Source organism: Homo sapiens, chromosome 18 (genome assembly GCF_000001405.40).
Source record: "Homo sapiens chromosome 18, GRCh38.p14 Primary Assembly".
NCBI classification, from domain to species: domain Eukaryota; kingdom Metazoa; phylum Chordata; class Mammalia; order Primates; family Hominidae; genus Homo; species Homo sapiens.
In genome coordinates, this window is record NC_000018.10 from 47907180 (window position 1) to 47922358 (window position 15179).

General features: G+C 38.2%; 1 protein-coding gene across 6 annotated transcripts in view, besides 1 other annotated feature; it reads right to left on the reverse strand.

Moving 5' to 3' along the window:
- SMAD2 (SMAD family member 2) overlaps window positions 1-15179 on the reverse strand; it is a 121916-nt gene that overhangs the window by 98223 nt on the left and 8514 nt on the right. Inside the window, exon 3 of one of the 6 annotated variants that reach the window (XM_047437507.1) lies at window positions 12893-12990. The exons of the other annotated variants lie outside the window; for them this stretch is intronic. The gene's annotated coding sequence lies outside the window, so the exon portion shown is untranslated. The remainder of the gene's footprint in view (window positions 1-12892; window positions 12991-15179) is intronic. 6 annotated transcript variants of the gene reach the window in all.
- Window positions 11185-11797: an enhancer, noted in NCBI's record as "NANOG-H3K27ac hESC enhancer chr18:45444735-45445347 (GRCh37/hg19 assembly coordinates)". NCBI's record gives its function as "activates a minimal SCP1, AML or CMV promoter by ChIP-STARR-seq in naive H9 embryonic stem cells {active_cell/tissue: H9 hESC(naive)}" and the evidence as "EXISTENCE:reporter gene assay evidence [ECO:0000049][PMID:30033119]".

Sequence of the window (15179 nt, forward strand, 5' to 3'; positions counted from 1 at the left end):
ATTCAGGAAAAATAAATACGTATGTCCACAAAAAGAAACCTGTATAAGAATGTTCATAGTAGCCATGTTAATAATCGCCAAAAACTAAAAACAGCCAAAATATCAAAAGAAAACAAATAATTATAGTGTGCTCATAAAAAGGAATACTGCTCAGGAACAAATATGAATGAGCTTATACACTCCACAACACGGATCAGTCTCAAAAACATGCTGGGCAAAAGACAAAGAAATATAGACTGATTTCATTCATGGCTTCCCACAACAGGCAAAACTAATCTAATGACAAGTCAAGATGACCATCTCAGAGGCACTAAGGAAGAGAAGTGGAAATGTTTGGACAGAAGCACAAAGTACCTTTCTACGGTGACAAAAGTGTTCTCTATCTTTGTTTTATTCCCTCGCTCCTGTAAATCCACTGTTGAATTCCTGAATGTTTTCTATCTTGAGAGGTAATCACACATGAGTACAAGTTACCAAAACTCACAGAACTGGCCGAGCCCAGTGGCTCACACCTATAATCCCAGCACTTTGGGAGGCTGAGGCAGACAGATTGCTTGATTTCTGGAGTTCAAGACCAGTATGAGCAACATGGCGAAACCCTGTCTCTACAAAAAATACAGAAAAAAGTTAGCCATGTGCATGTCTATACTCCTAGCTACTTGAAAGGATCACTAGAGCCCAGGAGGCAGAGGCTGCAGTGAGCCGAGATCGTGCCACTGCACTCCAGCACCCTGGGCGAGAGAGTGAGACTCTATCTCAAAAACACTCACAGAACTGAACATTTGAAGTCTGTGCATTTTAGCAATGTAAATTACAATTCAAAAAAATTTAAAAGGTGCCTGGACAAACACATTAAGAAGTTCCTAAATTAAGTTAAATAGACTTCTTTACTGAAGAACTTCTCAAAAGCTTCAACATGCCAATGCACATTACAAATTTCAGAAGGGAGGAGGTTGCAAGTGACCAAAGATGTAAGCTTGGAAGTTTCCGTCCACAACATGCAGATAGCCTCTGCAAGTACATGTAGGCAAATGTTCGTGGATGGAGGGTGGAAGGGGTATTGTTTTGAGGACAAAAATTGAGAGCCCAAATGACAGCCATCACAAACATACATGAGGCACTGACAAAATGGTTGTTGTAACAGAGCTATATAATTGACCCGTGGACAACATGGGTTTAAACTGTATAGGTCCATTTATACACAGATTTTATTCAAGAAACATTGCAAAATGTCTTGGAGATTTGAGACAATCTGAAAAAAACTCATAAACCAGGTAGCCTAGAAACACTGAAAAAAACTAAGAAAAAGGTATGTTATAAAGCATAAAAGATATGTAGATACTACTCTATCATTTACCATCATGAAATACAAAAATCTACTATAAAAAGTTAAAATTTATCAAAACTTACACAAACACAGACCATACATGGAGCCATTTACAGTTGAGAAATGTAAACATTCAGATGAAGTATTAAATCATTAACTACATAAAATTAACGGTAGTACATACTGTACTACTGTAATAATTTCATCGCCACCTCCTGTTGCTATCACGGTGAGCGGAAGTGTTGCGAGTATCCACTGTGTGAGGCTAATCATCTCTGCATGAGCAGTTCTTCTCTCCAGTAAATTATCACAGTAAAAAGTGATCTCTCACATTTCTCATGTAATTTTCACCATGTGTAGTGCAATACCATAAGCCTTGACTAATACCATGAGATCCATACGATGTGCCACTAGTGATGCTGACAGTGCTCCCAAGAAGCAGAGAAAAATCATGACATTACAAGAAAAACTCCAATTGCTTGGTATGTACCACAGACTGAGGTCTGCAGCTGCAGTTGCCCACCATTTCAAGATAAATGAATCCAGTGTAAGAACTACAGCTAAAAAAAAAAAAAAAAGAAAATTTGTGAAGCTGCCACTGCAGCTAGGCCAACAGGTGTGAAGATCTTGCACCTTTTGTGAAACAACTTTTGATCTCATATTGAAAATGCAGGTTTTATGTAGGTACAGGATTGCTATAAAGAAAGGCGTACCTATAGACTATTACATGGTTTGAGAAAAAGCGGAGTCATTATATGACAACTTAAAGCAAAATTAAGGTGAAGGATCTAAAGCTGGAAAATTTAATGAAATCAAAAGATGGTTGAGAATTTAGAAACAGGCTGGCTTAAAAAATGTCAAGATAACAGGAAAGGAGCTTCTGTCAACCAAAGTAGATGAGTTAGTTCCTAGGCACCATTAAGAAAATCACTGAGGAGAAAGGGTATCTGCCTGAACGGGTTTTTAATGCAGGCGCAAGTGCTGTATTCTAGGGGAAAAAACTGCCACAAAGGACATTTATTAGCAAAAAGAGAAACAAGCACCAGATCTGAGGTAGGAAAGGACAGGCTAACTCTACTGTTTTGTGCAAATATGTCCAGGTTTATGATCAGCACTGCCCTTCTCTATAAAGCTGCTGACCTCCAATCCTTGAAGGGAAAAGATAAACACCGGCTGCCACAACAAAAAGGCCAGGGCAACCAGAACGCTTTTCTCTGGATTCGTTCCATCAATGCTTTGTCCCTGAAGTCAAGTACCCTGCCAGTAAAAGACTGCCTTTTAAAGTTCTTTTGACATTGGACAATGTCGCTGGTAACCCACAATCCCATGATTCCAACACCAAATATGTCAAAGTGATCTACTTGTCCCTGAACACATTAATAACATCTCTAAATCAGGGAGTCATAAGGACCTTTAAGGCTCATTACACACAGTACTCCATGGAAAAGACCGTCAATGTTACAAAAAAGAACTCTGATAGAGTGTCATCAAAGTATGGAAGGATTACGCCATGGAAGATGCCATTGCTGTTATAGAAAAAACCATGAAAGCCATCAAGTCCAAAATGATACATTCCTACTAGAGAAAACAGTATCCAGATGTGCCCGACTTCACAGCATTTACACCAGAGCCTATCGAGGAAATCATAAGAGATTGTGGATATGGAAAAAAAAAAAAAAAAGTGGGGAGTGAAGGGCTTCAAGAGATGGATCTTTTTAGAGAAATTCAAGGGCTAACAGACTCCACACATCAGAGGAATTAACAGAAGACGACGTAACAGAGATCAGTGCTTCTAAACTAGCTCCAGATGATGAGGAAGAAGATGCAGAAGAAGCAGTGCCAGAAAACAAATTGACATAGGACAATCTAGCTATATATAATATAGGGTTCTAATTATTGAAGGCTGCTTTTGACTTCTTTTATAACACAGATCCTTCCATTACATGGGCACTGAAACTAAAGCAAAAGGTGTAAGGAGGACTGGTACCACACAGAAACATTTTTGGAGAAATGAAAATGCAAAAAGTCAGGCAAAAATTGCTTATTTTCATAAAGTTACACTGAATGTGCCTGACTCCCAGTCTGCCTCTTCTACCTGTGAGACAGCATGACCAACCACTCCTCAGCCTACTCAGAGTGAAGACAATGAGGATGAAGACCTTCATGATGATCCACTTCCACTTAGTGAATAGTATATGTATTTTCTCTTCCTTATGATTTTCTTAGTAGGTTTCTTTTCTCTAGCTTAAAGAATACAGTTTATCATGCATGTGACATGCAAAATATGGGTTAATCAACTGTTTATGTATTGGTAAGGCTTCCAGTCAACAGTAGGTCGTAAGTTTTAGGAGAGTCAAAAGTTATACACAGATTCTTCACTGTGCAGGACAGCACCCCAACCACCCCATTGTTCAAGGGTCAACTGTATATTTACTAAAAAAGAAACATTAAATAAAAGCTCAAAAAAGGACTTTAAATTATCAAAAGAATGTTCTCAAAAAAGGTCCTCAAACTGAGGATATTCAGCCCTTGGTATAATTTGCTAGAAAATAATGGCCATAACTGCCAGGCGTGGTGGCTCACGCCTGTAATCCCAGCACTTTGAGAGGCAGAGGCGGTTGGATCACGAGGTCAGGCATTCGAGAACTAGCCTGACCAACATGGTGAAACCCCATGTCTACTAAAAATACAAAAATTAGCTGGGCGTGGTGGCGAGTGCCTGTAGTCCCAACTACTCGTGAGGCTGAGGCAGGAGAATCGCTTGAACCTGGGAGGCAGAGGTTGCAGTGAGCCAAAACCACGCCACTGCACTCTAGTCTGGGCAACAGAGCGAGACTCCATCTGGAAAAAAAAAAAAAAAGAAAATAATGGCCATAACCTAATATAATCATACTCACGCCCCTCGAAACAGAAAAAAAATCAATGCATCCTCAAGCTCAATTCAGGAGACTGGCCCCAAGGCCTCCCTCCAGGAAGAGGCAACACAGCATGCCAAATTTCATAAATTTCATAAATTTGGCCATGTCAACCCTTTTTAGGGATGTATGGAATGCCACATAACAATACTGCATTGGCAACCTTGGGAGTCCAACTAGGGTTCAAACACTAAAAATTTGAAAGGAGTCAATAATAGGATTATGTAACTTTCTTTAGCAATATAGTAGAAATGGTGGGAAAGTGAGGTTTGCATAGAATTAGGGAACTGTAATGCAAATAAAAGAGCAACAGTGAACTTAACAGCCCGGTTAAACTGTCTATAGTGGTAGACCTATAATACGACACATAAATAAGCACTGTAGTATGTAACTTGATAAAATAAAGCAAATACACAAAACTCCATCAAACGCATGTAATCATCTACCAACTAATAACCTGGGACTATCAGGCAGCAAAAAGTGTACTTGGCTACCTTTGGCCCCTGTTGGATTCCTACTCTGTGCCACAAAGTATGCTCTAGAGGAGCCAACTACAGACACCGTAGTATCATGTGACACAGTCTTATCCTAGCACAGAGAACAGGATTCAACCTTTGGAAGGGAAAGGTGACACTAAAGTTGACACCAGAGCACAAGTATTGAGAGAGATAGTACAGCAGGCAGAAAGTTCAGCATGTTTTCTAAAGACAGGAAACGTTTTAGGAGAGACGAAAAATTTAGGTTATCACTAAAATACGGTGCACAGGAAGCACTGTGGCAGAAGATGAGGGGAAAATAAGGCCAGTGCAGATTAAAGAGCTGAAGACAGAAATTACTGCTAATGATAGGAGTATTACTTCATTTATTCCAGTGACAATTTGCATTTTGAATGACCTACTGGACGTGCAGTTTAGGGAAAAGGATTGAAACACAACTAATGTGACCGACTACCTAATGTAACTGAGTGGCATGTAATGGTACATTCATCACTATTAGGAATGAGGAAAGAGAAGCAACCCTGAAGGCTAAAGGGTCAGTTTTATACATGCCTTTATGTAAGTAACTATGTTCATCACATGGCCAGGAGGCAGCATAAAATATAGTAGACTCAGGGGAGCTAGCAGTCAGTGTACAAGTAAGAGTGTGTGCCAGAGCTAGGCAGAGACAACTGGTGTCTTGAAGAAAAGCAGAGCAGCCAATCTCTAGGCTTGGTTTCTGAGGACTGTCCAGGCCTGTTCCAGCTCCACAATTATATCCTCAGAACAAAACCTCTTTTTGAGTTAGCATGAGTAATCTCTCTGTTCCTTGTGAAAAACTGATAGAAAAAGCAAAATAAAAGAATCTCCCTACAAGTATCTGTATCTTTGGTTCAATTATTCCATTCATAAGAATTTAGCCTAAAAAAAGAATAAAAAATGAAACTTCTGTATAAACAGCAAAAAAAAAAAAAAAAAAAAAAGGGATTTCCAGCATTAGGAGGAATGAGAGTAAACAGTTTCTGTAACACTTTTTTTTTTTGAGGAGTTTCACTCTTGTTGCCCAGGTTGGAGTGCAATGGCGTGACCTCAGCTCACTGCAACCTCCACCTCCCAGGTTCAAGCAGTTCTCCTGCCTCAGCCTCCGGAGTAGCTGGGATTACAGGCACGCGTCAACACGCTCGGCTAATTTTTTGTGTTTTTAGTAGAGATGGGGTTTCACCATATTGGCCAGGCTGGTCTCAAACTCCTGACCTCAGATGATCCATCCGCCTCGGCCTCCCAAAGCACAGGGATTACAGGCATGAGCCACAGCGCCCAGCCTGTTACACTTTCGTTAGGAGAAATGTTTCTTATGAGTTAAGCTGTATTCCTGGGGATCTAAAAGTTTTCTATAAAACCTTTACAATATTGTTTCTTCACTGAAATGAAACTAACTTAAGTTTAGGCCTATTCTGGGTCATCTGAATGGCCACATGACCTGGTATTGCCACATGATTTCAGTGTCCCATGTCTTACAAGAGGAGTTAAAACCATTTTGGAACTAAGTGAACACTTAAAGTTGCCAGCCTTACCTTTGCATGTCTCAGTAACCATGGTTGGCTGACATCTGTCTAATATCTCCGGAGAATTTTTAAATTATGTAATAAAATAACATTTGTTGTAAGTAATGCTGATAATACATCTTCAATTAGTTAAGCTTTTATTTTAAAAACTGAAGCATTTTTAGCCAATATTTTTGAAGTGTAAATAGACTGAATGTAGGCTGACAAGGAACAGATAACAATGTGTTCCAGGTTAAAAACAAATGAAATACAAAAAAGAAAACTAGATTTATAATCAAGTTGCTATCAAAACGTGAATGAGTCATTTACAGAATATACAGATTTCCTTCAATGGTGTGGCAGCAAGTTCTCTACTGAAATAAATTTTCAACATCTGCAAGAATTGAAATCTAAGTTCAGACACTATTTCTAATTCCAGCAATAAGTGATACTTACATAATGCAGATTTCAAAAGAACACAAAGACTATCTTTACAGCTGAATAAGTCAGCTTACCAAATGATACCTTAGTAAAATTAGGATTCTACGATTACTCACCGGAAAGTTTCAATAAGGTAAGAGGTCTAATTATCCTGAACTTGTAGTAAAGCCTTCAAGTTATTAACTCTATATTATAGTTTGACAAATAGCATTCTCTGCACATTTAATTAAACAACAGTGCATACTCTTTCCAGAGTCCTCAACTATGTGGTCCTTTTCTTACTGTTTTTATTCTGACATAAACCCTATCACTGAGTATGTATTACAAAAAAATCTCCAAATCCTTAGAATGACTTTTCATTTTATGTTGTCTTTTGGAACACACAAAGCTGTATTTTAATTAAAAATCTTTTATGCCACAACCTTGCTTTTCAAAGAAATCTTGCTGTGCCTCTAAATATAGTAGGAAACATTTATTGAGTGCTTAAGCCTAAGAGTCCAGTAAGCAAGAATTCCGAATCCTAAGAACCAACTGGGGTTAGGTACTATTATTTACAAATGAAGAATGTGAGGCACAAATAAATACCCTGACGTAATACAGAGAATCCCCTCTAGATATTCTTATGGATGCTTTAGTTTACTTTTCATATTAAGTTTCTAAAAGAAAGATCAGAAATTTGGTTTTAAGAGGTGAGACAGTGATCTAACCATCTCTCATAAGGACAGCCTGTGTATTAAAGCTTACCTTTTGCTAAGTCATAATGCCACTTCTGTCGCATAACAAATTCCTACTAAAGGTCTGATCACACGCATTCTGTTATTTGTTCACACTTAACATCAATGTAAGAAAATATTAATTACTACTGCTTTCTAGTTAGTCTTGATATTTGTCAGGGTGACCCCCCTTCCTTATTTTTCAGATGTGTAGTATTGCTGGTTACTTTAAGTTTAGCATGTTCTACAAAAATCCTATAGGATTTTGATTGGAAGTGCAATGAATTTATATTAGTTTATGGAGAACATATTTATGATATCAAGTACTCCGACTATGCAAATGAGTATTTCCATTTATTTATTATCTATTGATAAGTTGCATATTTTCTCCATAAAAAATCTTACATCTTGTCAAATTTACTTATTTCTCCAGGTATCTTGGTTTTTATTGTAAATGGGGACTTTAATTACACAAAAATATTACACTCAACACTCATGTACTTTCCATCTAGCTGTCATATCTTAGCATTTTGCAGTACTTGATCAGACATAAGAAATAAGATACGAATACAGCTAAAGCCCCCTATGTATTCCTCTTTGATAACATTTCCCTCCCTCTTGCTTCTCAGAGATTATCACTATCCTGATGTTCCCCCATGGTCATTTAACAGTTTTGCTACATATTGTATCCATACAATACAGTTCTGTACATTTTATAAATTTATATGAAAGTGTGATACTGTTCAGTCCATGCTGATACATACATAATCCTAAATCCTAGTTCATTCATTTTAGCTGTCACATGGCATTCCATTTTATGACTAGCACAGTTCACTGTCCATTCACTCTGGATGACTAGTTAGGTTTCCAATTTTCCTCTCTCACAACCTGCTATGAATAGGCTGGTATATATCATTTTATACCATGTAAAAGCTCTTCTAGGGCAGAAAATTTCAAACTTTCAAACTTTTTAACCAAAAAAAGTCCCACAGTGAAAAGTACATTTTACATGCAACCTAGTATATACACACACACTTTGCTAAAAAAGACATTTCACCATATGCTGCACTCTACAATTTCTCTAAACTGAGGGTCGCGAACCGTGAGTGGGCATGAAATCAATAATTCTAACAAATGTTTACACTAATGTAACCACAATCCCCAAAAAAACAACATTTCCAGCACCTCAGATGTCTCCCTTACGTTCCTTTTCAGTCAATCCACCTTCCCCCGTCAGGCAACTACTGACTTCTATTACTATTAATTTTACCTGTTCCAGAAATTCATATAGATGGAATTATACCGTATGTACTCTTCTGTGTTTTTTAACACCCTTTTGAAAGTTCTCTTGTATTCATTTCCTAAGAATTTTTGTCATGAACAAGTACTAAATGTTATCATATGCTTTCCCGTTGTCCATCAAAATTATCATATGGCCTTTCTCCTTTAATGTGTTAACATGATGAATTTCATTTACGAGTTTTCTAATGCTTAATCATCCCTACATTCCTGAGACAAACCCTAATTAGTCATGGTATTTTTGTTTTGAGTAAATACTAACATTTTACAAACTACAATTTTTATTGCCATGTTCTTTGGTGAGAATGCAGCCTATATCCCCTTCTCACACTATCTGGTTGGGGTATCAAGATTATAGTAGCCTTGCAAAATAATTTTTCTGTAACATTTTGTATAAGATTAGAGTTAATCCCTCACGTTTGGTTGCACTTGCCCATACGGGGTCTTCATTTGTAGTCTGGTGTTTTGCTTGAGGACTTAAAATTTTACATTGGTACAGGTATATTTATTTATTTATTTTGTTTTGTTTTGTTTTGTTTTGAGACAGAGTCTCACTCTGTCGCCCAGGCTGGAGTGCAGTGGCACGATCTTGTCTCACTGCAACCTCTGTCTCCTGGGCTCTGCCTCAGCCACCTGATTAGCTGGGATTACAGGCGACTGCAACCATGCTTGGCTAATTTTTGTATTTTTGATAGAGATAGGGCTTCACCATGTTGGCCAGGCTGGTCTCAAACTGCTGACTTCAAGTGATCGCCCACCTTGGCCTCCCAAAGTGGTAGCCACCATGCCCCGCCTGGTATAGGTATATTTCTAAACATGACTAAGTTTTTAAATCATAATCTAGTGAAGTTTCTAATTCTTATTAAGCCAACTTGGTAATTTGTTTTGCTAGAAATTGTCCACTTTACCTGTTTCCAAATTTAAAGAAATAAAACTGTTCACAGTATTCTTGCAGTTTTAAAATCTCAGTTTGTCTGCAGTTATACCATCCCTTCATTTCCAATACATTTGTACATTCTTTTTCTCCTCTATCAGTCTTGGCACTCTTTTCAACTTAGTTACATGCACTAAATCAAAGACACTATTTTTGTTGTTGTCGTTGTTGAGACAGAGTCTCGCTGACACTATTTTTGTTGTCGTTGTTGAGACGGAGTCTCGCTCTGTCGCCCAGCCTGGAGTGCAGTGGTATGATCTCGGCTCACTGCAACCTCTGCCTCCTGGGTTCAAGCGATTCCCCTTACAGAATGTATCTTCTGTAATTGTTGGGTGCTTGCTAATTGTACTCTTCCAATCCTTCATAACCTTGTAGTTTTTTAAATCTACCCTTTCATAAATTACTGAGAGGTATATTAAAATTTTCTACTACGATTATAGATTTGATTTATACCTGTAATTCTTCCAATTTTACCTTATAAATTACACCTAGTATATCTTTTCCATTCCTTTGCTTTTAAACTATGTCATCATACTTTTAGGAGTATCTCCACTTGTAAAATACAGTTGGTTGGATTTTTTAAATTTTTGTTCTCCTTTAGCCAGCAAGTTTAATCTGAGATTACATATTGGGTTTATGGAGATATTTCAGCTTATTTTCTACCATCTTATTTTGTGTTTTCTAATACCTATGCATTTTTCTTTTCTTTTTTCTTCTTCCCTGCCTTATACTGGAGTGATCAATTTCTCTTTATTTCCACCCCTCATCCCCACTGACTTGGAGTTATACGTTATTCTATTTCAATTCTTTTGGAGAGTTATTGGTAAAAAAATTTTTAATGGAAAACTTTAACTCATCATTGCATTGTAGATGAAAACAGCCTATTGAAAACCATAAAGAATTTTTTTTTTAAGATATGGGTTCTCCCTATGTTGTCTAGGCTTGAACTCCTGGACTCAACCAATCCTCCTGCCTCAGCCTCCCAAAGTGCTAGGATTACAGGCATGAGCCACCACGCCTAACCAAGGGAATTTTTAAAAACCAGAAACCTCATGAGGATAGGGAGAAGAGGTAAGGAGAAAACAGAAGCAAAATTTTAATGGCTGGAAAATGGGTGAGCAGTAATTGAACAGATCAGAAACTACTAACTCTAGGCTAGCTGTAGGAAAAGCTGAAAACCATTGATTAACACAGAAACCTCAAAAAGTTAAGGAACCAACAGCAAGTCACGGCAGGAACTGAGGGCCAGGCAGGGGAAGGAATAATAGGTAGCACTTGTTAAGAGCTTTGTAGAAAGGAATTCAGTTCTTAGATTTCCGCCCCTACTGTCTCTGGATAACTAATCCTCTGCCTCAACGTTTACTTTCTGCAAAGGGGAAAACAAAATCCCTGGACTAGGAGATGGCCTGGGTATAAGTAGGAAGAAAAGAGGGTGTGAATGAACATGAGCACGCTGTGTTAAATGTCGACTCCCAAACCCCTTCCTCCACTGGGTTTTGGCTCCCAAATACTAGCAGCCAGACCTCCGCCCAGTTATTCAGATCAAAAGACTTCACTAGGGTACCTGACCGACCCAGGAGGAAAGGCATATAGATGCTAATATTGGGAGTTTACCAACAAACAGCCTGCCTGCTCAGATCCCTCTCCAGTGAAACTGAAAGGAGACAAGTTTCACCCACATGTTGAGTTTTTGATCAGCTTTTTAGATCCCCACTTCTTAAGAATTACTTTATCTGAGGAAAAACGTCAAACAAAACCAGAAAAATTCAGCTTCAGGAAAAGACTATACAGAGAAAGAAAACATTTTTAAAACATCAACATGGCCAGAGAAATAAGACTGAGCAACCCTGAAGAAAGAGCAGCATGCTCTCAAAGGCAGCATTCAGAGAACTTAACAGCTCTTGCATAGCTTGACAGCAGAAACGGGGGAAAAAAATCAATAGAAGTGCTAGAAGATAAAGTAGAAGAAATCTTCCAGAAAGTAGAAAAGAAAGATGGGAAACAGTAGAGAAAATGAAAAAAATTGGAAGACTGGTTCCAGAGGTCCAATGTCCCAACAACAGTTCCAAACAGAGATGCAGAGTAGGGGAGTCAAATAGATAAATTAAGAAAAAGCCCCTGAACTGAAAGATGGGAGTTTCTAGATGGAAAGGGCCCATCAAGACCCCAGTAAAACAGATGAAAACAAACCTACATGAAGGCCCATGGTAGCAAAACCAGAATGCCAAAGACAAAGAAAGGGCTTAAAGTTTCCAAGGAGGAAAAAAAATAGGTTATATAGAAAACAATCAAAATGGCTTTGGTTTTGTCAACAGTATACTGTAAACAAAGTCAAGAGAGCAATGGCTTCGTAATTCTGGGCTTCATAATTTTTCAAAAAAAAATTTCCAACCTAGACTTATGTTAGCCAGAACAAAGGCATTTTCAGACATGCAACATCTCCAAGTATTTACCGCCCCACCCCCAACACACTCTCCAGGAAGGTCCTGAAGAATATGTCTCATCAAAAGGAGATACTAGTAAAACAAAAAGGAATACGATCTACACTCGAACCCAGGAGTGCAAGGCTGCAGTGAGCCATGATCACCCTACTACACTCCAACTAGACAACAGAGTGTGACCTTGTCTCAAAAAAAAAAATACACACACACACACACACACACACACACACACACACACACACACACACACAAAGAATAGGAGATCTAACAAAGAAGAAAAAATGAAGGCAATCCCTAATATGCTAGTGAGGGGGAAATCTCAGAATGACTGCGGCGTACTAGGTGTAGAGGCAACCAGTGCAAATCGGAGCAAGCTAAAAAAGACGAAGCCAAAACAACGGCAGCCTTCTCTCCAAAGTGAACACTGTAGAAGTCAATGGAAGCATAACCTTCACTGATTAGAGCCAAATGATAAATGGATGGGGGTGACTGATGGGGCCATAAAGAACAGCTTTGTACCACTCTTTACCAATATCTCAGCAGATTTCTGATTCCAAAGATTACAACGCAAAAGAAAAAAATTTTGCCTAAGTGGAATTCTTATGTTAGTACATGTTTATATATGTATGGATTTCTTTAGACCAGTGCTATCCAACAGAAACAGGATGCAAACCACATATTGTTAAATTTTCTATCAGCCACATTAAAAAAGTAAAAATTGGTGTGCTTTAGTCAGTTCAGGACGGTATAACAAAGTACTACAGACTAGGTGGCTTATAAACAACAGAAATTTATTTCTCACAGTTCCGGAGGCTGCAAGTCCGAGATCAGGGTACCAGCATGGTTAGGTTCCAAGTAAGGCCCTCTTCTGGGTTGCAGACTGCCGCTTTTTTCAGGTATCTACACATGGAGGACAGAATGCTAACAACGGTCTCTTTTATAAAGGCACTAATCCCATTCATGAGGGCTCTACCCTCCTGACCTCAATATCTCCCAAAGATCCCATTTCCTGATGCCATCACAGCGGGAATTACAAGATGAAATCATAATTTAATAATTTTATTAATCTAACCCAATATATCCAAAATACTATTTCAATTCGCAATCCGTATTAAAAACCATTGAAATATTTAACATTCTGTTTTTGTACTGTTAGAAAATTGGTGTGTATTTTATGCTTGTGGTCCATCTCAATTTCAAGAGCTCAATAGCCACATGGTGGCTAGTGGCTATCATACTGGACAGAGCAACTCTAGAAGGATAAACGAAAAGCTAGTAACAGTGGTTACATTTCTGGAAAGCACAACTGGGCAGCAGGAGGTAGGAGATGTAAAGGAGGCTTACTTTTTTCAGTATTTGCTATTTTGTTCTCCTTGACTTTTATACCATGTGCATGTGTTATTCGAAAAAATGAATAAAGTACATTCTCTAAAATAAATTACAAATGTAGATATTCTTTGAACTACTCCTAGAAATCTATCTTACAGACATACCTGCAAAGGAGCAAAATGCTATATAAACGAAGTTATTTGTTGTAGCATTGTTTTTAATACCACAAGACTGGAAACATTCAACAGAGGACTGATGATATATTCAGACACCCGGCCAGGCACAGTGGCTTACGCCTGTAATCCCAAAACTTTGAGGGGCCGTGGCAGGCAAATCGCTTGAGCCCAGGAGTTCAAGACAAATCTAGGCAACATGGCGAAACCCCACCTCTACAAAAAATTTTAAAAATTAGCTGGATATGGTAGGCATGCGCCTGCAGTCCCAACTACTCAGGTAGCTGAGGTGGGAGATTAACTTGACCCCTGGCAGTCAAGGTTGCAGTGAGCTGTGATCACACCACTGCACTCCAGCCTGGGTGACAGAGTGAGACACTGTCTCAAAAAAAAATTTACAGACACCCATACAAAAGAATATTATACAACCCACTACTCCAAAAAAGAAGAAAGGCATTCATTACATACTGACACAAAATAAGATGTACTATTAAGTGACATATGTGACCACTTGTACTAAAAGGTAATATACACACAAAATTGTTCATAGATGCATAAAATCTCTGGAACACCACACAAAAACCTAGTAAAGCTACTTGCCTTTGAAAAGGCAACTGTATGGCAAAGAACAGACCAGTAAAGAGACTCTTCACTGGGTATCCCTGAATTTTGGATTGCAGTCATGGATTATGTATACAAAAATTCACTATTCCACATGCAGCTGTAGATGTTTTCATGTACCCTGCCTTGCCTTGCTGTGATATTAAAGTCCATCTAAAGCCTACTGTTTTTCCAGTTCCTCCATAGAGAGGTCTGAGGCTTCTTTCTCCAAGAAGCCCCAGATGTTTCAATGATACCAGAACACTTTTCATTTTTTAATTTTTTTAAGCACACAGTTCCCACAGTTCTGTCTCCTTTCATTGAATGGCATTATAACCTCAGCCCCAACTACTGAATCTTATCTCTAGTAAATCCCCCAAGGCCACACTTCCCTTAAAGTTGACTGATTTTTCTAAGTTTCTAGTACCTGGGCACTTTCTCTCTCAAGATCAACTGTATACATAAGAGAAAACTTTTATATTTTATCCAACATTTTCATCTGTTTACAGTAAGAAGAATGGGCCTAACTTGTGTCTGTGTCATTTTAAGAAATTTAGATAAAGACAGTATAAACAATAACAGCAAACACTGAAGAAAGTATGATCACTGAGAAAAGACTGCTAAACTTGACAGTTCATCCGGAAGGCCAGTAGGAAGGGAAATGTGAAAAAGAATGGTTAAAAAATATGTTTGCAAAGTTGAAGTCAAGAACAGATAGTGATTAAATGTAGAAAGCAAAAGTAGATTGCACTTTTAAAAGGTATGGAGGGAAGAGAAATTTCAAATCTTCAAACTGCAGGAAAATACAAAATATTCCCCAAATACCTATGTGAATTTTTATTTAGAAAGAAAACCAAAGTTAATTATTTCAACAAAAATACTTTAAATATGATGGTGCTGCCTCATCTAGAACATCTAAGGTCCCACTAGAAATAATATAAAATCACTGTGCAGTCAATCCTCCTTATCTGTGGGTTCCAAATACAT